Source organism: Homo sapiens, chromosome 1, assembly GCF_000001405.40.
Source record: "Homo sapiens chromosome 1, GRCh38.p14 Primary Assembly".
Lineage (NCBI taxonomy): Eukaryota > Metazoa > Chordata > Mammalia > Primates > Hominidae > Homo > Homo sapiens.
Genome location: NC_000001.11, coordinates 110,870,929 through 110,894,007, shown reverse-complemented (window position 1 = coordinate 110,894,007; position 23,079 = coordinate 110,870,929). Strand labels below are relative to the sequence as shown.

The 23,079-nt window shown below is 39.2% G+C and overlaps 2 protein-coding genes across 7 annotated transcripts in view, besides 4 other annotated features; one reads left to right on the top strand and one right to left on the bottom strand.

Moving 5' to 3' along the window:
• LRIF1 (ligand dependent nuclear receptor interacting factor 1) overlaps nucleotides 1-19,051 on the top strand; it is an 88,966-nt gene extending 69,915 nt beyond the window's left edge. Inside the window, exon 4 of the mRNA XM_017001769.3 lies at nucleotides 16,323-19,051. Within this exon, the coding sequence (XP_016857258.1) occupies nucleotides 16,323-16,373 (51 nt within the window). The 3' untranslated portion in view covers nucleotides 16,374-19,051. The remainder of the gene's footprint in view (nucleotides 1-16,322) is intronic.
• CD53 (CD53 molecule) overlaps nucleotides 1-22,798 on the bottom strand; it is a 28,713-nt gene extending 5,915 nt beyond the window's left edge. For 4 of the 6 annotated variants that reach the window (NM_001040033.2, XM_047435014.1, XM_047435013.1 and 1 more), the window contains exons 1-4: nucleotides 22,749-22,798; nucleotides 20,760-20,852; nucleotides 2,537-2,616; nucleotides 1,475-1,663 (exon numbers count right to left, since the gene is read on the bottom strand). In NM_001040033.2, the coding sequence (NP_001035122.1) occupies nucleotides 1,475-1,663; nucleotides 2,537-2,599 (252 nt within the window). In that variant the 5' untranslated portion in view covers nucleotides 2,600-2,616; nucleotides 20,760-20,852; nucleotides 22,749-22,798. Of the gene's footprint in view, nucleotides 1-1,474; nucleotides 1,664-2,536; nucleotides 2,617-20,759; nucleotides 20,861-22,748 lie in introns of those variants that run through there. The other 2 variants (NM_000560.4, NM_001320638.2) reach the window with 1 other exon arrangement.
• Nucleotides 16,487-16,781: a silencer, noted in NCBI's record as "tiled region #4566; HepG2 Repressive non-DNase unmatched - State 24:Quies". NCBI's record gives its function as "represses a minimal TATA promoter and a strong SV40 promoter by Sharpr-MPRA in HepG2 and K562 cells {active_cell/tissue: HepG2 | K562}" and the evidence as "EXISTENCE:reporter gene assay evidence [ECO:0000049][PMID:27701403]".
• Nucleotides 19,338-19,387: an enhancer, noted in NCBI's record as "active region_1478". NCBI's record gives its function as "activates an Ori minimal core promoter by ATAC-STARR-seq in GM12878 lymphoblastoid cells {active_cell/tissue: GM12878}" and the evidence as "EXISTENCE:reporter gene assay evidence [ECO:0000049][PMID:35858748]".
• Nucleotides 20,900-21,009: an enhancer, noted in NCBI's record as "active region_1477". NCBI's record gives its function as "activates an Ori minimal core promoter by ATAC-STARR-seq in GM12878 lymphoblastoid cells {active_cell/tissue: GM12878}" and the evidence as "EXISTENCE:reporter gene assay evidence [ECO:0000049][PMID:35858748]".
• Nucleotides 21,610-21,659: an enhancer, noted in NCBI's record as "active region_1476". NCBI's record gives its function as "activates an Ori minimal core promoter by ATAC-STARR-seq in GM12878 lymphoblastoid cells {active_cell/tissue: GM12878}" and the evidence as "EXISTENCE:reporter gene assay evidence [ECO:0000049][PMID:35858748]".
• Nucleotides 22,799-23,079: the final 281 nt, after the last annotated feature.

The following is a 23,079-nucleotide window of genomic DNA, read 5'->3' as shown; positions in this document are numbered from 1 at the left end:
CAAAAGGTTGGTAAACTAGATCATTTGGGGCCTGGTCCTTTCTACAAGATCAGGGATACCTCTGGGTGGAGGACTGCTGGTAGTGGCTGAGAGGAGCCCTGTACAATGGTAGAAAGAAGGGTCCTAGCCATGGTTCTAACTCATATTTGTTTCCAGCTTTCGATGCTTACTCCTTTTATGCTAATAACACACAACAGAAAACATTTTCACTTATTCCTTCTCCTTCACCTTTTTTACCCCAACATTAATTTTGACTGCTTAAAACATTTGCCTTACCCCATGTCTGCTATCTTCCATCCTTTGCCATTAGTCTGACAACTATCTGAGAAGAGGGACTTTTTAAAAAATTCTTTCTCTTGGCTCCAGTTTAAGAGTTGACCCATACAGACTGGGCGCAGTGGCTTACGCCTATAATCCCAACACTTTGGGAGGCCGAGGCAGGTGGATCACCTAAAGTCGGGAGTTAGAGACCAGCTTGACCAATATGGAGAAACCCTGTCTCTACTAAAAATTCAGAATTAGCCGGACATGGTGGCGCATGACTGTAATCCCAGCTACTCGGGAGGCTGAGGCAGGAGAATGGCTTGAACCCGGGAGGCGGAGGCTGTGGTGAGCTGAGATCATGCCATTGCACTCCAGCCTGGGCAACAAGAGTGAAACTCCATCTCCAAAACAACAACAAGAAGAAAAAAACAAAACAAAAAACCACCACCAAAATGTTGAACCATAATGGAAAAAAGATTAACCAAATGATTTAAGGAAGAACCAATGTGATTAGAAACCCACGCCTATTGGTAGAGTGGCACTGTTACACCAAGCTCTGTTCTGGGAACACTACAGAAATGTAGAGCTCAGTGCTCTACAGGCACTGTGCTTACAGGCAAAACCTAAGCCTTAAGGTACTCCTCAGGATAGTACCTGATAGGGAACATGCAAAAGGCTGTAGCATCTCTCACATTAGACCTCAATGGCTGCAGCCAGAGCCCTCACCTAAGTTGGATCTCTCTACGGAGTATCTTGTGCAGACATGAGTTAAGGAAGCATCCTTTGGCATTTGGGGAGGAAAGAGCCTAGAAATTATTTTCCATTAGTTAGCGACTCTCAGTCAGAATCTGAAAGTACATAATAATAGCTAGCATGAGGAGGATTTTGGAAGATGGATGACACCTGATTTCATCCAGACATAAAGAAAAAATAAAATGCTATAAAGGGGAATTACAATAATGACAAAAGTCATTATTAGCAATATAAAAATGGCTACAAGGGGGATAGCAATGCCCTCTTTCACCTGTCCGTGGGACCCTAGTCATACATAATATACTATTGGTCTGGGCAGACTTGGCTGATCTGAGGTACCAATCTCATTTTCCTATGATCTTTCTGTGCCTATAAGTGATCTACCAAGAAACATCTTGCCTGGGATTTAGGCACCATCTCCCCGACTTGGGGCACCACATCTGCTGTAAGGACTCACCGACATAAGCAGACACTTGTTTTCCTTGATAGAGCCCATGCAGCCCAGGAAGGCAACTACCATGATAATAGAGCCCACGATGACAAACACATTGCCCAGCGTGAGGGAGGGGAGGTTATGGAAGAGCACTCCGAAGTTGTTGTGGATCAGCAGGTAGATCCCAAAGCCCAAAATGCAGCAGCCACAGATCTGAAAGGAAGAATCCCACAACATCCTGAAGCAAAATGTGGTTCTTGGGTATCTCCTCATATTCTCACTTCCTTGAGATCAGAATCACTTTATTTTTAACTGGCTCAATCAAGAGTCTCATGAACAATTTCTTTACCAAACTTTTCCATGCTTACATTGGAGAGGCAATCTCAGCTTTCTCATGTGGAGACCTACTCACAACTCTTCCTACCCATCTCCAGATACCAAGGAAAGATCACTTCTGTGAGCCACACAGTATCTTCACCATATATAGGTCTAACTTCTTTTTCCTTATCTTTTCAGTCGCTCACACATGGCTTTCTCTGTAGAAACCATGACCATGTAGAGAAGATGCCCTGCTTGAGGAAGCTCATCTTGCTAGGCAGAAAACTAGAGAAGCCAAACTTATAATAATCTTCTCATATACACAAGTACCAACCCATCCTATATCTGAAATTCAATTGCTGAATTTTATACAGTGAAACCTCCCTGGAAAGGGTGACTTTCCTTTCAATCACTTATTGTTTCAAGGAATCTAGAAAAAAAGACAAGAAAAACAGAGGCACTCAATATCCAGAGCACAGTCTCAGGTTTCTCACCTATATATGTTAGCTACGAGTAGTAGTAAACTAAAGCCCTCAGAGAGAAACAGCACCTCCATTAATAACTGCACTGGTACCTTTCAATTTTGCAGGTTTATTCTGTGGCAGGAAGAGGGGAAAAATTATTACTCTTTTGTTTCTAGGATGGTTGTGCTGGACATGACCCAAACACGCATGCATTTTACCCCACACCAGCCTCTTCAGTAGAGGAATGAGGAGAGCTTAGCTGGGTAAAGGTGAGCTAAACCGTGCTCAGAAGAGATACACTTACCCAAAAGAGCAAGTTGAAGAAAAACAGGACATACTTCAGCAGTTTCAAGCTACTCATGCCCATGCCGTGATATTCTTGCCCTAAGGAATAAGGAAGAAGAAAGTAAGTTACCTCACTCTGTAAGGTAGCCAGAGATCAGAGTGCACAAATGTTCAGGGATCTCTAGCATTACCTTGGGTTTGAGCTGTGGCTCTCCTCTGGAAAGTTTCCCCAAACTCTGCGCTTTCCTAGTTCTAAACTGAAATACCAACTGGCTCATCTTAGACATTCAGTTTTTGCCCAATTCGGCAAGCCAACAATGCTTAACATTGAATTAAGTATTGTAGAAGAAAATAGAGCCATTCTTAGAAGAGGATGAGTCACAGTGACAGAGACCAGGCCAGTGCTTTAGCTCTAACTGCAGCATTAGCAACTAGTGCCTGGGCACTTAAGCCCTTGAAGTCAGGGATGGACTGGTCAATCAGCCATCAAGAAAGCCAACAGCTTGATCAGCCAGTTTCTTAAATACTCTGTGATTTATGTACATGCTACATTTGATCAGTAAACTTCTCCACATGAAAGTAGGGGGAACATATCCACGCCTCATTTATTCTTTTATTGCAGAAACATTTATGTTTTCTGTTCTAGATGTTGTGGAAGATGCAACCATGACTAAGCAGTAGCTATCCTCCAGAAGACAACAGTCTTACAGCAAAGATAAAACAAGCCAACAAATATGCAATGGGGAAGTAAAAAGAGATAGCAATGTAAGCTTTATTTTTTTCAACTAGAATATCATTTTCTTAGTGAGGACATCAATGTCCAATGTCTGGTTCTCAATTCTAGAAATCCAGATACAGAATTTTGACTTTTCCTTTTCGCTTTCCTTTCCTTTCTCTTTCTCTTTCTCTCTTTCTTTCTTTCTTCTTTCAGGGTCTCAATCTGTCACCCAGGCTGGAGTGCAGTGGCACAATCTCAATTCACTGCAACCTTCACCTCCCAGGCTCAAGTGATCCTCCCACCTCAGCCTCCCAGGTAGCTGAGACTAAAGGCATGCACCATCATGCCCGGATAATTTTTGTATTTTTAGTAGAAACGAAGTTTCACCATGTTGCCTAGTCTGGCCTCAAACTTCTGACCTCAGGTGATCCGCCTGCCTCGGCCTCCCAAAGTGCTGGGATTACAGGCATGAGCTACCGCACCTGGCCAGAATTTTGAATTTTCTGTCAGAGGTAATGATATTCTATAAAGTGACTCATTTTTAAAACCGTGCACAGGACTGATATATCAAGCAGAATGTTGGGGCAGTGATTTTTTTCCATTAAAATTATGCCTTTTCCAGTGCATGGGTCACTTGTGCAATCCATAGTATCTCCTTTGCAGTTTCAAGGTACCTGGGAATCACATGGTCTTGAGGGAATAGTTCATCCAGGCTGTAGATAAGCCTGATGAGCTACTTCTCTTCCACAATAAAGTGAATTTCTCTGTTGTAAACACCAAATACTTGTATCTATCTCATATCCTTTTCCTTTACTTTGTGCTCTTTTCCCCTCTTTTCTTCTTGTCTTACTCCTCAGGATTATTCTTAAATCTACATGATTACTTTAATAAAATAAAATAAATTAGATTATAAATGCATTTGAATATATATCAGAAGTAAAGTGTAATGATTTACTACCCAGGCTTTGGGGTCAAACTTGAATTTTCCTCTTACATATGCCTCTAAACAGCTGTGTGAGAATTGCACACCAACTTAACAGTTCCAGTCACAATTTCTTCCTATGTAAAACGGGCCAACACTTATCCCTTATAGGGTGGTTGTGAATATTAAATGATCTTATCACACAGACTGGCATACAGCAAGACCGGTACTCAATAAATTGAACCCATGATTATTTAGTCTTTATTTATTTATTTATTTATTTATTTATTTATTTGACGGAGTTTTGCTCTTTCGCCGAGGCTGGCATGCAGTGGCATGATCTCAGCTCACTGCAACCTCCACCTTCCAGATTCAAGCCATTCTCCTGCCTCAGCCTCCCGAGTAGCTGGGTTACAGGCGCCCGTCACCACGCCCGGCTAATTTTTGTATTTTTTTTTAGTAGAGACGGGGTTTCACCATGTTGGCCAGGCTGATCTCGAACTCCTGACCTGGTGATCTACCCGTCTCAGCCTCCCAAAGTGTTGGGATTACAGGCTTGAGCCACCACACCCGGCCAATTATTGAGTCTTAAAGAACTACTCTGTTTATCAGGAGTGAATGATGAATTTGAGTGTTTCCCAGCCCTTTATCAGTATCACACTGACAAAATATCTCATAGAGTAAGACACATCTATGAATAAATAATCTTATTCATTTTATCTAGAATTTTAAAAAAATTAAATTAACTCTTAGAATGTGACATTTGCCAGTCCTCATTTCCAAATTCTTGAGAATCCTTCCTGTTGCCCTTTGCACAAGCTACATCAATCAATAAAAGATAAAATATGTCAAGTCCCAAAGAACAGTAACAAAGGCCATGAAGATGCAAAGATTTGCAGCTGGGTTGATCAAAGAATATTTCATGGTGGAGGACATAAAAGCTGAAACATTCAAATGAATGTAGTCCCCTTGAGCAGCTAAACACAGACTCTCATGATTCACTGTACCCTAGAGCTGTGCTACAGCTTTGAGCACTTAGAATCTGGCTAGTCTGAATTACTATGTGCTATAAGTGTAAAATATACACTTAGTACAAAAAGGATTATATCAGTAATTTTTCAATATGGATTACATTTTTAAATTATAGTATTTTGTACATATTGAGATAACTAAAATGTTATTAAAATTCATTTCACCTTTTTCATTTTCCTTTTCTTAACGTAAAAATATAAAATCATATATTTGGGAAATGTGCCTCTGGCCAATGGATTAACAGGGACCAGATTTACCCCCTCACCTGAAACAGCTAAAAAATGTAGACTATAAAATAATGGTCTGCAAAACACTGAATGTGAGACAATGAAGGGCACGGACCCATGAGAGACGGGAAATAAATGGTGTGAGCCCTGTGATTGCCTCAGCTTATATTCACAGACAGTTTCCAAACCATGGAGCATAGAGGGAGAGCCTGGCAGAGCTGAGATTTTGAGGAGACCAAGGCAGCTAGGGTTTACAGGACACCGCAATGTACAAAAGAAAGGTGCACAGAGAGCAAACCCCAGAGATTCGCAGCGGGTGCTTGCATCAGTTTCCTATTGCTGCTAAAACATTACCACAAACTTCGTGCCTTAGCAACGCAAATTTATTATTTTACAGTTCTGAAGGTCAGAAGTATACATTCAGGTTGTTGGCTAGGCTACATTTCTTCTTAAGGGCTCAGGGAGAGAATTTGTTTCCTTGTGTTTGTCAGCTTCTAAAGTCACCTGCATTCCTTACCTCCTTTCTTGCATCGTGCAACTTCTTGCTTTTGTCATCACATCTGCTACTTTCCACTCTTATCTCCTGCTTCATTCTTATAAGGGCCCATATGATTAGATAAGAACCACCTGGCTAATCCAGGATAATCACCCCATTTCGAGATGTTTGATTTAATCACAACTTCAAAGTCATCTTTGCCCTATAAGGTGCATGGACATATTTGGGGCCTATTATTCAGTCTACCAAAGTGTCCATTAAGAATTTAGCTGAGTCCTGATTAGCACCTGCATGTACAAAACTGCCCAAGGATAGGTACCATCTGAGCAGTGCCTGGCATTCACACAGCACCAGTGACTATTCCCACCAGTCAGACTGGAAAACTCCAAGATTCACAGGCTAGAGTACACAGAAGGATGTAGCCTCAGTAATAGGGAACAGATAGCTCTAGACTGAACACTGTTCTACCCAACAAATCTTAAGAGTAAGGGCCCAAGATATTAAACACTTTCCAAGTAACTTAAGTGCATCCTAAAACAAAGCTCAATAAGATTTATAGGAATGCCAAATATTTAGCACCCAACAAAGTAAAATTTACACATAGATTCACTCAAAATATCAGGCATGCAAGAAGCAAGAAAGTACAACCTATAATATGGCGATAGATGAAAACCAACCCAGGTGTTAGATTAGTAAAGCCATTAAGCCAGATACTATGTTTTCAAAAAAATAGGCTGGGCGCGGTGGCTCACGCCTGTAATCCCAGCACTTTGGGAGGCCGAGGCGGGCGGATCACAAGGTCAGGAGATCGAGACGATCCTGGCTAACACGGTGAAACCCCGTCTCTACTAAAAAATAGAAAAAATTAGCCAGGCGTGGTGGTGGGCGCCTGTAGTCCCAGCTACTCGGGAGGCTGAGGCAGGAGAATGGCGTGAACCCGGGAGACGGAGCTTGGAGTGAGCCGAGATCGCGCCACTGCACTACAGCCTGGGTGACAGAGCGAGACTCCGTCTCAAAATAAAATAAAATAAAATAAACATAAATAGAGACATGGAAAGTATAAAAAGACTCAAATCAAACTTCTAAAGATGAAACTACAATGTGTGACATGAAAAATACATTGGATTGGATTAATGGCAGATTAGATATTGCTGAAGAAAAAAACTAGCGAACTTGAAGACGGCAAGAGAAAATATCCTCAAAGAAACACAGACAGAAAAAAAAAATATATATATATATATATATATATTGGAGACAGAGTCTCGCTCTGTTGCCTAGGCTAGAGTGCAGTGGCGTGATCTTGGCTCACGGCAGCCTCCACCTCCTGGATTCAAGCAATTCTGCATCAGCCTCCCGAGTAGCTGGGACCACAGCACGTGCCACCATGCCCAACTAATTTCTGTATTTTTAGTAGAGACAGGGTTTCACCATGTTGGCCAGGCTGGTCTCGCATGCCTGACCTCAAGTGACCCACCCACCTCGGCCTCCCAAAGTGCTGGGATTACAGGTGTGAGCCACCATGCCTGGCCAGAAAATAAAATGTTTTAAATGAACAGAGCATCATGAGTTGAGAAATAATTTCAGGTGGCTTAATATACATGTCACTGGAGTCTCTAAAATTGAGGAGAGAAGAGAGATAGAAAAATAATTTGAAGAAATAATGACTAAATAAAATCCTAAATTTGATGAAAATAATATCCCTATGGAACCAAGAAGCTCAATAGCTCAATGAACTCCAAGCACAAGAAACATGAAGAAAGCTACACTAAGGTCTTTATAATCAAAGTACTCAAGGAACAGTGATAAAAAGAAAATCTTAAAACAACCAGGGGAAAAAAAGACATGTTATGGACTAAGGAACAATTGTAAGGATAAGAGCAGACTTCTTATTGGAAAACAGGCAAGCTGGAAGAAAGTGGAGCAACACATTTAAAATACTAAAGAAAAAAAATTGTCATACTAAAAATCTATACCCAATAAAAATACATTTTAATAACTTAAAAAAAGGACTTTAAGATATACAAAAGGTGAAAGAATTCCTCATCAGTAGATCCATACTACAAGAAATGTTAAAAGCAATCCTCTAAGTAGAAGAAAAATGAGACCAGATGGAACTACAGATTTACACAAAGGAACAAAGAGCACCAGAAATGGTGACTACAGGAATAAATGCGCAATACTTTTTTTCTTGTTATTTAAATCTCTTTAATTCATTTTTATTTTTATTTTTTTGAGACAAAGTCTTGCTCTGTGACCCAGGCTGGAGTGCAGTGGTGTGATCTCGGCTCACTGCAACCTCCGCCTCTCAGGTTCAAGAAATTCTCATGCCTCAGCCTCCTGAGTAGCTGGGATTACAGGCATGCACCACCACGCCCAGCTAATTTTTTGTGTTTTTAGTAGAGAGGGGGTTTCGCCATGTTGGCCAGGCTGGTCTCGAACTCCTGACCTCAGGTGATCTGCCTGTCTCAGCCTCCTAAAGTGTTGGGATTACAGGCTTGAGCCACCGCACCTCGTCTTAAATCTCTTTTTTTGTTGTTGTTGTTTGTTTTTTGTTTTTTGAGACAGAGTCTCGCTCTGTCGCCCAGGCTGGAGTGCAGTGGCGCGATCTCGGCTCACTGCAAGCTCCGCCTCCCCGGTTCACGCCATTCTCCTGCCTCAGCCTCCCGAGTGGCTAGGACTACAGGCGCCTGCCACCACGTCCAGCTAATTTTTTGTATTTTTAATAGAGACGGGGTTTCCCCGTGGTCTCGATCTCCTGACCTTGTGATCCGCCCGCCTCGGCCTCCCAAAGTGCTGGGATTACAGGCGTGAGCCACCGCGCCTGCCCAAATCTCTTTAATAGATACTGAACTGTTCAAACAAAAATAGTAACAGTATTGCATTGCATTAATAATAAATGTAAAAGTAAACTTTATGATAATAATAGTGTAGAGACTGGGAAGGGAGAAATGGAAGTATACTACTGTGAGCTTCTTATATGTAAAGTGGAAATCTCACTTGAAGGTAAAAATCTTAAAAAATACTCGATTAATCAAAAGAAGCCAGAAAAAGAGAAAAGGGGTAACAACAAATGGGAAAAAATAAAGAACAAGTAGAAAAATGAGACAAATAAAAAACAAATATGCTAAAATCCCAACCATACCAATATCACAGTAAATGAAATGGTCTGAATACTTAAAATATGAAGCAGGAATAAATAGATGGATTGAAAAAACAAGACCCAATTATGTTGTTTACAAAAAAATGCATTTAAAATATAAAGAAGCGAATACATTTTAAAGTAAAAGGATGGAAAAAGATATACCATACTAACACTAATAAAAGGGAAAAAAAGGCTGGAGTGTCTATATTAGACTAAAACAAACACTATTACAGAAAAAATTATCAAGGATAAAGAAGATTACTTTATAAAGGGACTGATTGAGCTAAAAAACATAAAAATCCTAAGTGTTTTTGCACCTAGTCAAAATTTATGAGACAGAAATGAACAGAACTGAAAGAAGATATAGACAAGTATAAGTTATACTTGAATAGTTCAATATCCTTCTCTCAATAGTTGATGGAATCAGTAGACAGAAAAGCAGTAAATATTTGAACAACAGCATCAGTCAACTTAAACTAACTGATTGTGATAGAACACTCCACCCCACAACAGCAGAACATACATTCTTTTCAAGGTTACATGAAACATTTACCAAGATAGACCATTCTGGACCATAAATCAAGTTTCAACAAATTTAGAAGGAATTGAATTAGCAATCAATAACAGAAATATCCCTAGAAAGTTTCCTCAAATTGGGAAACTAAATAGCATATTTCTAAATAGTTCATAGATGAAAGAAGAAATCAAAGAGAAAATTAGAATTCTGAATTGAGAAAAACTTTAAAAACATGTTGAAAATGTGGGAATGTCACTAAAGCAATATTTTGGGGTGAATTTTAGTGCTAAATGTCTATAGCTGAAAGGAAAGTGGTCTCAAATTAATGACTTCAGATTGCATCTTGAGAAACTAGAAAAAGTATAACAAACTAAACCCAAAATAAGCAGAAGGAAGTAGATAATGAAGATAAGCACTGAAATCAATTAAACAGAAGAACAATTTTAAAAACCCCACAAAAGTTGGCTCTTTTAGAAGACTGATAAAATTGATAAACTTATACACAGGTAATCAATTTTAAAATAGAGAACAAAGATTATCAATATTAGGATTGAGAGAACAACACTACAAATTCTATAGATATCAAAAATATAAGTCAATATAATAAATGACTTCATGCCAATACAACTTAGATGAAATAGATGAATTCACTGAAAGGCACAAATTACCAAGTCTCACTCAAAAAATAGATAACCTGAATAATCCTATCTCTAATAAGAAACTGAATTTGGAGTTTAAAAGTCTTCCCATAAAGAAAACTGCTAGTCCAGATGTCTTATTGATGATTTCTACTAAACATGTAAGGCAGAAATAATACTGATTCTATATCAAGTCTTCCAGAAAATAGAAAAGGAGGGTACACTCTCTACCTTATCCTGTGAGGCCAGACTTTTCAGATACTAAAAGCAGAAAGATATTACAAGAAATAAAACCACGGGCCAATGTTCCTCAGAACAAGATGTGAAAATTATAAACAAGATTTTAGTAAAAAGCATCTAACGATATAGAACAATGATAAGAAATTATGAACAAATGGGGCTACTCTCAGGAATGCAAGGTTATTTTAACATTGAAAAAACTACTTAATTAGTCATATTAATGAATTGAAAGAGAAAATAAATTATCATCTCAATAGATACAGGAAATTTATTTGACAAAATTCAACATCTATTTTTGATGAAAACTCTTAGCAAACTAGGAATAGAAGAACGCTTATGCAAACTTATAAAAGGCATTTATGAAGGGCATAGAATTAAGAACATCATACTTAATGGTATAACACCAAATGCCTTACCCTTATATAAGGAGGAAAATAAGTCTGTTTACTCTTAACTACTCTATTTGGCATTGTACTGGAGTTTCTAGGCAGTGCAAATGAAATATGAAAAGAATGGCATCCAAACTGGAAAGAAAAAAAAGTAAAACTGGCTTTGTTCACAGATATCATGAATGTCTTTGTAGAAAATCTAAATAAATCTACAAAAATACTACTAGAACTAACAAGTAAGTGTAGCAAGGTTGCTAGAAACAAGATTCAATCCACAAAAAATAATAGCATTCTATGCACTAGTAACCATTAGAAATCAAGTATTTTTAAAAGTATCATTTACAATAGCATCATATATGAAATACTTAGGCATAAATCTGACAAAAGTTGTGAAAGAATTGTACACTGAAAACTTAAAAACAAACATTGCTGAAAGAAATTGAAAAGATGCAAATAATGGAGAGATATACCACGTCCATCTACCAGGAATTCAATATTTTTAAGATGTCAATTCTTCCAAATTTATCTATAGATTGTAATCCCCATCAATATTACAGCAGAATTTTTTGTAGGCTTCAAGAAATTAATTCTAAAATTCATTTGGGAATGCAAAAGACTTAGAATAGTAAAAATGAGTTTGATAAAGAACAAAATTGGAGTACAAACACTACCTAATTATATTGCTTTCTATAAAACTACAACAATAAAGACAGGATAGCACTGGTGTTAAATAAATATATCAAGAGAACAGAATAGAGTCCATATGCATATGGACAACTGATTTTCAAAAAAAATACAAAATTAATATATTACAGAATGAAGAATACTTTTTTCAACAAATGGTGCTGGAACAATTGTCTATTAATATGCAAAAATGAACTTGCATTTATACCTCTCTCCATACGAAATCGTAACTAGTGATGAATCATAGATCTAAAGGTAAAATCCAAAACTATAATTCTCCAGAAGGAAATATTTGCAACCTTGGTTATGCAAAGAGTTCTCAGATAAGACACCAAAAGCACAATAAGTTGATAAATTGGACTTCTTCAAAATTAAAAACTTCTGCTCTTCAAAAGACACTGTTAAGAGAATGAAAAGACAAGGCACAGAAGGGACAAAATATTTCCAAATCACACAGGAGATAAAAGGCATGTATCCAGAGTATAAAAACAACTCTTGAAGCTCAATGGTAAGAAAATAAACAATCCAATTTTTAAAATGGGCAAAAGATCAGAACAGACAATTCACCAAAGAAGATACTATATGGATGGCAAATAAGGACATGAAAAAAATTCTCTACTTCATTACTCATTAAGGAAATGCAAATTAAAACCATGGTAAGATACCACTCCACATCTCCTAGAATGGCTAAAATGTTTTCAAAACCTGACCACACCAAGTGTTGGTGAGGATGTAGTGAAACTGGAACTCTTATACACTGTTGGTGGGAATGTAAAATGGTATAACCATGTTCAAAAGCAGTTTGCTCGTTTTGTACAAAGTTAAACATATACTTATCATATGATCCAGCCATTCTACTCCTAGGTATTTACCCAAGAGAAATGAAAGCATATGTCCATACTAGGACTAGTACAGGAAGGTTCATAGTTTTGTAGTATTATTTGTAATAGCCCAAACTGGAAGCAACCCAAATGTCCATAAACAAGTGAATGTATAAATAAATAGTGGTATAATTTTACAATGGAAACTACTTAGCAATTAAAAAGAATGAACTGTTGTTACCCTCTACAGCACAGGTGAATGTAAAAATAATCATGGTGAGTGAAAGAGGTTAAATAAAAAAGAGTACATTCTGTATGATTCCAGTTATATAACATTTTAGAAAATGAAAACTAATCTATAGCAACAGAAAGCAGATCAATGACTGTCTGAGGATGAAGGTGGGGGAGGGCAGGAGGTGAGTAGAGAGGGAGCAGGGAAGGGTGAGAGAAAGGGATTACAGAAGGCCACAACAATCTGTGGTGAGTGATGCATACGCTCAGTGTTTTGACTGTGGTGATGGATTTATGCATGTACACTTACGTCAAAGGCCCCTCCTAATTTGCTCCTGTCCATCACTCCACACTCATGGCAACACCCCCTGTATTATACTTTAAAATTTAGCAAAGCAATATTGAATCCTTGTCTTAATGCTTCCTTCCTTACTTTGGTAATGTGTTTCTTTGCTGAAATTTTCTCTTTTCTTTCTGGCCTCTTATTCTGGTTAGTTACTCATCATCCTAATGATGTGTCACTTTTCCAGGAAGTCCTCTCTGTTTGTGTCTAAGTCTTCACACCCAACCCTCACTTGCCCTAAGGAGTATCTGTAATACCTGTGTACCTCTGCCATTGTACTAACCATTTTGTTTTATAAGTGACTATTCCCTCACTAGAATGTGAGCTCCTTGAGGGTAGGATCTATGCTATTCATCTTTGAATTCTCAAAGCCTCATTACCTCAGAATTATCTGATGTAGTGGAATGAACATGACACTGCAGAGTCAGGAGCCTTGGGCTTGAATTTTCAGTCTGCTAATAAACTGATGTTTTGGACATAGGAAAATAACTAACTCACCCATCAGTAACAGAAAGGAATTGAGCCAGATGCCTCCTAGAGTCACATCAGCCCCAACATCCTGGTATCCTGTGACAATTAGTTCAGGCCCGTGTAACCTGATTGTCCACAGAACACCAGCTGGCTAGGTGCCCACAAACTTAGGGACATTCCTACTGATTCTTTCCTTCACAGACAGGAAGAAGAACCTCTTCTTCCTTCCTCTCCCACTTTCTACCTCTCCAGACTCATACTAAATTGAGTAAGAAAATCTTCTCACCTGGTGAAGATTGTCACTACTTTTGCCACATGCCATAAGGGCCCCAGAGAGAATGCTGCTCCGTTTCCCCTTCCCCTTTTCACTGTTACTGGGCAGTGATTAAGCCTCCCACCCCTTCCAACTACCATCTAGAGGAACCGACACCCCTCCCACAGTCAAAGTCTATGACTCTTAGATGCATGACTCATGGTTCTATGCAAAAAGCCACCAATATCAGTTTCCAGGAAACCTGCGTGACCAAACTGCACTTAACTGTGGCTACCTTCCACAACTCAACATGGAGGTTAGGGATCAACTTTGCTCTTTAGTTTCCTCCAATGGGCTTGAGCTGGTAGAACCTGCGGATTTCTAATTCCATCCCTGTCTTTTTTTTGACCTGTACTAACAGCACCATGTAATCTACTCTTGAATTTAATCAAGCTTAGAAGTGGTTAAGGTTGGATAGAGGCTTCAAGAACCTCGATCAGGCTCGCCATGGTGGCTCACACCTGTAATCCCAGCCATTTGGGAAGCTGAGGTGGGAGAAGCCCTTGAGCCTAGGAGTTTAAGACCAGCCTGAACAACATAGAGAGACCCTGTCTCTATTTTAAAATTTTTTTAAGTTAAAAAAAAAAGAACCTCTATCAGTTCTTCATCTTCAGCCTTATCTGATCCAATATTACAAGCTAGGCTGGAGCCACATAAGACAGCTTTGGTGCTACATAGACCATTACGCTTATGAGATATTAGTAAGTGCTCCTCAAACAAAAGCCAAGATAAAGAAAAAAAAACAGTGTAAGAGAAAAACCTGTTATATGCTAATGTGCACTGTGAGTCTCTAAGACAAAAATATGTTTATATAACTACAAACCTAGTTTTATGTTGCAGATCACTTATTAACAGGTCAAATAACATAGTATTCTGTGGAACACAGTTTGATAAACACTAGCTTTGGAATCAGACAGGTCTAGTTTTGAATTCTGTTAGTGCTACTTATCAGAAGTGTGACCTTGGGCAACTTGCTTAACCTGTCTTTCACTATATCTTTGAAATAGGGTTATTAATACTTACCTCAGAGGTTGTTCTGAGGGCTAAATGAGATACTATTTCCAGGATGGCTCAGTCCCTGTGTATCTGCCTTATTCAGTGAAAACTCACTGAAAGATCAAGTTCAGACCTTACCTACCAGTCCATTCCTAAGGGTAACCCTTAGCTTCTAACAGATTTTTAGGAATAAAACATACACGGGGCAAGAATAATCCCTTGCTTGTTTCATACGTTTTAAAAAGAGGTTTCGTGTGCCATTTGTAAAAAAAATAAAAAAACAAAAAGAAATCAAACAATAAAGAAAAGCACATGTTTTTTTTCCATTTGTACCTATTAGAACAAATTGAAAATGTTAAATTTCAGTAATAAAAGATAAATAAATAAATGCAAGTACAGTTTCTGTAAGACTTCCTTTCAGTGAAGAAAAGCGTTTAATAGAAAAACACCTTTGTATGCTAAGATTGAGAATACGTTATTAGAACACATTTCTTTCTCCACTGAACTCTGTTAAGACATGTTGGAAAATCCCAGCAATAAAAGGCAAATGTAAGCACAGTTTCTTTAAGATGCATAAATTGTTTTCTTTCAGTGAATGGAAGTGTTTGGTAGAGAAACACCTTTGTAAGCTAAGATTGAGAATATATATTATTAGAACACATTTCTTACTCCATTCAAACCTATTAGAAAAAGTTGAAAAATCCAGCAATAGAAAGCAAATGTAAGCATGCTTTCTTTAAAAAAAAATTCTACATTTAAAAAATAAAGAAAAGTATAAAGAAGAAAGCATAAAATCTTCTGAAATCCCACCTCCCAGAGATAACCATCATTAGCATTTTGGCAAACGTCTTTCCAGACACTTCTCCATATACATTTCTCTATATACAGATTGTCAATTTACATACAAGAGCATTCGCAAGGTAATTACGGCTCCCTATCCCTTCCTACACAGAGCCTGTGGCAGTCTTTGTTCCTTAGCAAAGACAATTGAGGCTGTGATTAAGAAAAAGTTTTTCTAAATAGGAGCGAAAATCTGCCCCAGTGAGGGCTCCCAAATGTAGGCCTTGCTCAAACAAACTGAGATACATAATAGATAGTTCACTGAATCCCACAAAATAACTAAGTTCCTCATAAATGTCTTATTTATAATCCTCAAATCGGCCTGACAACTTAGGTGTCATTAGCCCCATTCTGCAAATAGAGAAGCCGAGGACTGGCACAAGGTCACCCAGCTAAGAATCATCAAAGGCAGGGTGAAGGCCAAGTTCTTTCAGCCTCCAAAGCCCATGCTCTTTCCACCGTCCCAGGCTCTGGTTTTGTGCCTATTACTTCCCAACTCATTTGGTGCAATGTGTTGAGCATCCAGGAGAAGACCTTCCATTTTTCATCAGCTCGTTTGAACTCCTGTGAGCAGTGGCTGAGGTGCAATCAAAGTTATCGCTGTACGTCCTTTTGAAGAGTAATAAGCAGTTGTAGAGGAAGAAGTAGGGGTAAAATAAAACGAAGCCAAAGCATCAACTCTCATGTATTCGTGTCCATTCATCTCTCCATCAACTAATCAAGGAATATCTGTTATCTTATTCCTTCCTAAAATTGTAATCTGATAAAAATTTTGTTTCTTCTAGGTCGCTGTTAGGGGAGAGGATTTGGCGATTTATAGAAGAAGAGAGAAATAAGGAAGAAGAAAAGAGGAGAGAAAAAGTGAAGAAAGACAAATCCAGATGATCTTGGAAGCTCACTTCCTCCCATGTGGGAGCTTAGCAAGATACTAATAACAGCTGAGGTGGGACAGGGACTCTTCTAATAAGCTTACTTCGTAAATCAGGAACAGTTACCTAAAACAGTTAGCACTGTTACAGAGTCAAGAGACCAGAGGTTCTCCGTCCTCCTAGGTAGAAATATGCAGAACTTTACATACGGGGTCCCTCGGCTAGAGGCCTGTCCATGGTGTCTGCAGGCTGGCTATGCTCAGATTAAGCAAGACTCTTTGTGGGATAAGAAAAGCCACTTTGTTGGTATTCCTATCAAAAATTTAAATAACCTGAATCTAATCATGAGGAAACATCAGATAAACCCAAATGGAGAAACATTCTAAAAAAGAACTGACCTTACTCTTCAAGAATATCAATGGCAAGAAAAATTCAGGAAGTGTTCCAGACTAAAGGAGACAAAAGTGACAGTTGAAGGCAATGCGTGACTAGAAATTTCCTTTTGCTATAAAGAATATTAAAGAGGTAATTGGTGGAATCTGAATAAAGTACATAGATTGTTAATTATATTGCATAAGTGTTAATTTCCTGGTTTTGATCATTGTAAAGTAGTTATATAAGAGAATGCATTTGTTTGTAGAAATATACACTAACATTCTTAGGGGAAAGGGCATCAATCAAATTACTAATTACTGTCAAATGAGAGAGCCAGAGAATAAACAAATGAAGTAAAATGTTAATATTTTGGAAATCTGGGTGAAAAGGATTTAGAAATTTTTCATAATATTTTTTCAACCTTTTTATCAGTCTGAATTTTGTCATTTTTTTAAAGGGATGGGAAATAAATAAATGATCTAAGGGATTCTCATCTCAAAATCATTACAATTTGTCTTCTATGTTATAAATACTGAGATTCTACAATAGTTATTTTAAGAAGACTAAACTATGGAATAATTCTTGAATGCCTTTATTTGCTCCTGATATAAGGTAAGCCATAAGTTCAAATTTACTTTAACAAGTAAACTTTAACAAGTTTTAAAAGATATGAGGCATTAAAATCATTTCTTACCCCTATTCCTCAATCTAGTTCTCCTGAAATAGAAAAGGCCAAACAAAAAGGTTTGGAAAATAAAATATATGTTAAGTATTTAGTTTGCTAGCATAGTAGCTTAAGATCAATTACATTTACAATTAAGTGGTATTTTTATGTTTGCTTATGTTAAAATGCACTAGGAATTTATGTAAATGAAGAATACAGTCTAATGATGCTTACTTAATAAAAAATCTCTTAGAAAAGGGACTATAGTATAATGTAGAAGAAAGAGCATGCCATAGAGAATCAGAAGACATTCTGAATAACTATTAAGTAATTTTATGATTTTTGGACAAGTCATTTTACCTGAAAAGTAAGCAGATTGGACAGTTGCGACAGCTCCTATTTATTGGCTCTCATTGTGAGTTAAGATACTTTATTTGAATCTAAATAATCTCTAACTTCGCTTGAAGTACCAATATTCTAATTCTTGGAATATAGCACTCTCATTTTAAATGATTATAAAAATGTATGCTTGTGTCATATTTTCTTTTACAATAATTCTTGGTCAGAGCTATGACATATTGATGCTATTGCTTGGGTAGAAATTCTGCTGTGTGCTTATGAAATGGATAATGAAGAGAGAGCACTCACCTCTAACTCTCAGTATAGAGATTCCTGGCCTTTACTCTGAGTGGTCATCCACTGGCTTTGCAAATGCATGTCTTTCTCTTTCCCAAAACCTACCTCCAGACAGCCTTCTCAAACTGACCACCCAACCTCCAGCTCAATCCTTCCCTCCTCTGCCCCAGCAGCCATGCTGGAGTCCTGCTCTGCATAGCTGTCTGTTTTCTCTGGGTTACTTTGCTTCAGTGCCCTGCACCTGCAGTGGCAGATGGGTCCTAGGAGCTTCCTGAGGACAGGTGCCCAGTCTCTAGGGCCCAGGGTGATCTACACACAGTGGATGCTTGCTTGGTACAAGAAGTGCCCTAGGCTGACTAATCTAGGGACGCAGAACAAACCACTATAACTGAATCAATGCAGTACTTCCTGGAACAGAAGCTAAGCTGAAAACAATGGCTGTAACCTCACAAGAAGCTCCACCCTTCCTTCTGCTCTAAGTGAAAATCTAGGTTGAGGAGGCAAAAACCTGCCTCTTCTCCCTCATTTCAAACCCACATCCCATCAATTCTGTCGTGTGAACATGGTGGGCATAGCCCCACCCAGAGCTGGACCTAGGACCTGCCTGGTGAGCGATCTTGCCCTCCACTTTCTGGTGCCAAGTAGGAGAAAGGGCTTTCCACTTCATGTGGCTCTGTAAACATGGTGTGTTACACTGCAGTCTCACTTGCTTTCTCTCATTTCTAACATGCCTGGAGGTACACACTTCTTTGAATTTGAATATACAGCACCCTTGGTCTAGAATGTCTCCATAGCAAACCCATACTTCTGTGAAAGTGAACCCACCAGTCACCTCTCTAGGCAGTTTTTGGCACACTCCTAACTCCTACAGTTTGTGCACGTTCTCCATCTATTATAGAAAAGAGCACATTGCACTGTATTTGTATATTGCTGTGACTGTCATCCATAATAAACTCTACAACTCCTTTCAGATGATAATCTTTTCTGTTATCCTGTATCTCCAGCACCAAGTGCCATATCTGGCCATGGGGTAGGAGTGGGAAAGGAGAACCAGAGTCCGAGGGCCTCTGTGCAGTCAGAGGTCAATCAGAGGGCACAAAAAACCAAGGACCAACAGACTTTGTCCTTTCCAGTTTGTGCCTCTTGTCAGTGAACAAAGGTGAGGTCACTTAGGTGGTGGTAACCATAGCTGTGAAGGCATGAACTTGGAATCATTCCTCATGAATATAAAGGTACCCAATCCTTTCATTTAAAAATTAAGTGTTCTTAACTGGCCCACACAGGAAACATCACAGGAAATAATGTTTCAGTTCAGTCTTTGCTCCCATTCAACCACAATTTCAAAATAGTACAGATTCTCCTCAAGATTGAGAAAGCAAAACCTCTTTGTTTGTCCAGCAGCTGGGAGTTTGCTTTTTCTCAGCTTTCTTCCAAAGCACACGCATAGTATGATATCTCTTATCTCCCATGGGAGTTCCTTAAGAGTAGGACTGTTTGCTAGACAAATATTCTCCTTCTACCTTTTCATCTCCCTCCCCCACAATTCCCAAAGCACAGTGCCTGGCCTCAGGAGGCACCTACCACTTGATTATTAAGTGAATTTATTTAAAAGACTGCTTTTTATTTTTTAATACAAGGCTCAATAAACTCTGAGGTGTTTTGGGAATCCAGAGCCCTCTCCCCGTCCCCACCCCTCTTGGAAATCTAGAGCCCTCTGCCCTGTTCCCAATCCTCATACTTAGATGGGTGGGTGTAATCAAAGAGAACTTTCTCCTTTCTGCTCCAGGGCATAATCAAGTGAAATTCTCACAGGTCTTGGAAGAAGAAAGCTCTTACATAGAGTTTCCGATGGTGGTCACAGAGAGTCAGGACCGAAGCTCTGCTAACACTTTGCTGAGTCCATGCAACCTCAGTCATTAGTTACAGCACATGATTGGAAATTACTGCAGTATCAAGTTTTGGGGATTGCATTTTATACGTGCATTTCATGTGACATTTATCAGTGGTCATGTTTTGTACACCAAGGATAATTTGGGGAAATGCTGAGGATCCCAATGTGCTTCCTGCTCCTTAAAAGCCAACAATCTATGCATCCTTTAGAGATGTCTAGCTTTCACCTTTTAAAATACAGTTACTGAGCACATCCTGGTGTTTTGATTTTTAGCCACCTTTCTATTTAGTGGCTTTGAAGAACCACAGTGGGAGTCACTAAATTTACTTTTGAAATTTTCTCAAATGAAAAAGAACTGTGTCTTCTAGCTGTCTTTCTAAAGACAGCTCTGGCTGTGGGTTCTTTCCTCACTTTAAAATCACAAGACCAATTTTCTGAAGACCAGAGCACATAGGAAATCTCCCCAATGTCATCTCGCATAGAAAGCTCCAGGCATCAGGAATTACTACACAGAGTAATTCAAGCTCTGAAGCAATTAAGGCATGTGAATGCCTCGACTCAGAGATTTAGATAATGGGAACCTGATTAAGTAAAAGTATTTCTGGCCTGATTGCCTTTGGGGATGTTACTAGGATCTTGCTAATCTGTTTTACTTTGTGCACTAAATATTTGTGAAAGAGAAGTTGCCGGAGATTTTATGGTTACTAGAGAGGTATATGGAGACCCCTAAGAATACGCCCTACCCCACATTAGACAGCAAGCCAAGTTAAAACGTCATCAACCTTACCTTTTCCAGGCACCGTTCCTCAGTCCTTTCGGCAGAATTTAGTGATTATCCTTGAGGTGGCCGAGACAAGGCTGGTAACACAGATATCCGGGGCTATTTGTGTAAAAGGAGAAGTGAAGGGTGAAAAAATATGATCATGCTGTGACGACAGGAAGCCCAGATGAGAAGAAGGAGGAAGTGAGGCTGAGTCCGCCCTCTTTAGTCTCAGAGATTTAGTACTTTCCCAGTGGCTTTTTAGAAGCTTCCTCTCACAGCCCACCCTAAACTAGTTTTGTGAAACAAAAGAAAACTTCAAAACCAAGTTGGTTCAGGCACAGATCTGTGAGCAGTGGTGGATTCTAGGGTAATTTGGCAATGATTTTTGCTTAGAAAAGGACAGTGCTTCTCAATCAAGGTGGCATCTCAGAATTAACTGTGTATTTGTTCAAAAAGAAGTATGCCTGGCCCCACCACCAGTTTCCCATTCAGGTAGACAGACTGGAGGGGAACACAGGAACCAATATTTCTAAACATTTTCTAGGCCCGAGACTTTGGAATGTCTTTCTGAAGATTCTCTGCCCCCTCCTCATACTCCCTCTGTCTGGCTTCAGCCAGTCTCTAGACTTGAATTGGACACCATTTGCAGACTTCTCTGTCTCGAGAGCAAGACTGTCTTAAGGTGAGTCCCCAAGGCATAATCCCAGGGGCACTGGTAGAAATGATTTGGTTAGTACAGGAAACACCACATTTGGAGCCAAAGATCTGAGTTTCAGTTCCAGCTTTATCTCTTTTAGCTGTGAGATCTTGAGCAAGTCTCAATCTGTCAGCCTCAGTTTATTAATGGTAACACCTAATAATAATCCTACTGGTTACTGTTACATCCTTATTTATATACAAGAAAACAGGCGCTCAAAGAGGTTAGAAAATTTGCCCAAGCTCATACAACTAAGACATGTCAGAGGTAGGATTAAAATTCAAGGTCACAGAGAAGGCCTTTTGAGAAACACTGTGATCAATATATTTTGAAAAATGTGTTTCTGGTTTCACTATGCTGCATCACTGGAATTTTCTTAGATTGGGTCAAAGGAGTATGTGACAACCCAAATGTATCACTAGCTAACTATGAAACTTGGAAGCAATCACTGGGCCCCAATGTTTTCATCTTATAAATGAACAGATAGATGCACTCTGCGGTGCTGACTTGCGGGCATGCCTCTGGGAAAGCTAGCTGTCTCCCGCTTCCTTCACCCTGAGACATTCAGATCCAGAGTAATCTCCAGCCAGGGCTGTCTTGTGGGGAAAACTGAATTAAATGAAGGTAAAAAGGTCTTTACTGCAGAACTTGTCAGTCCTTAATATTCTCTAAGCAGGGGAAATAATATATAGATTTCTCCAAACTTATCTGAGCATGGAACTGTGTGGTGTGTGTGTGTGTGTGTGTGTGTGTGTGTGTGTAGTTTCTCTTGGGGAACAATTTTTCAGTGTAACTACACTTTAGGGAATGCTATTAAAAAGTCTCTGCACCTCGGCTGGAATCACTGACCCTCACTCAGAGCTGCTGCCATGCTTACAGGTCCCTGAAGTGGTGGGGCTGAGGAGAGGCTTCTGGCTGAACTCATATTTTCCTAATTATCTCACCCATTCTGATGGCTCTAATTACTATCTGTCTGTTCCAAAGATTCACAAATCTATATAGATGCCATGATCTCTCCTTTGAGCTCCACTCTCTCCCAGGCACCTCAAATCCAATATCCAACTTCAGTTTGATTAACTTGGCATCCCCACACTCAAGCCTGCTCCTCCCACCATGTCCACCATCCAGGAAAGGCCTGACTGGCCTTTCAGCCACGTTCATGAGAAACCAGGTGTCCTCTTAAGCTACTCTCTCTCCCACACCACCACCTATTATCAGCCACCAAGTCCTGTCAGTTATGCTTTTGCCTAAATATTTCTCAAACCAGACCACCTCTCTCCAACCCCATAGAAATTACATTAGTCTTTATCTTTTACCTGTGTTACAGGATCCCAGTGTCCTTCAAGACCACCTTGGATGTTTCTTCAGTCTGTCCTCAGGAAGAAGGGAGGAGAGCCTTCTAAAATGCAAATTTAATCACATGACTCCCCAGCTTAAAACTCTCAGCCGGCTATTTCTTCCCCGGCCCCACCCCCAAGATCTCCTCACACTGGGTAACACTGGATATGGAATTCCTTTTAGTTGCTTAAACAAATCAATCTAGTTCTGTCTCACGAGCTCTCTCTAGAATATCCTCTCACCTGTTCACTTAATTCCTTACTCATCCCCCATCATAGCACCAGAAAGCCCTCCAGGCAGGAACAGTTA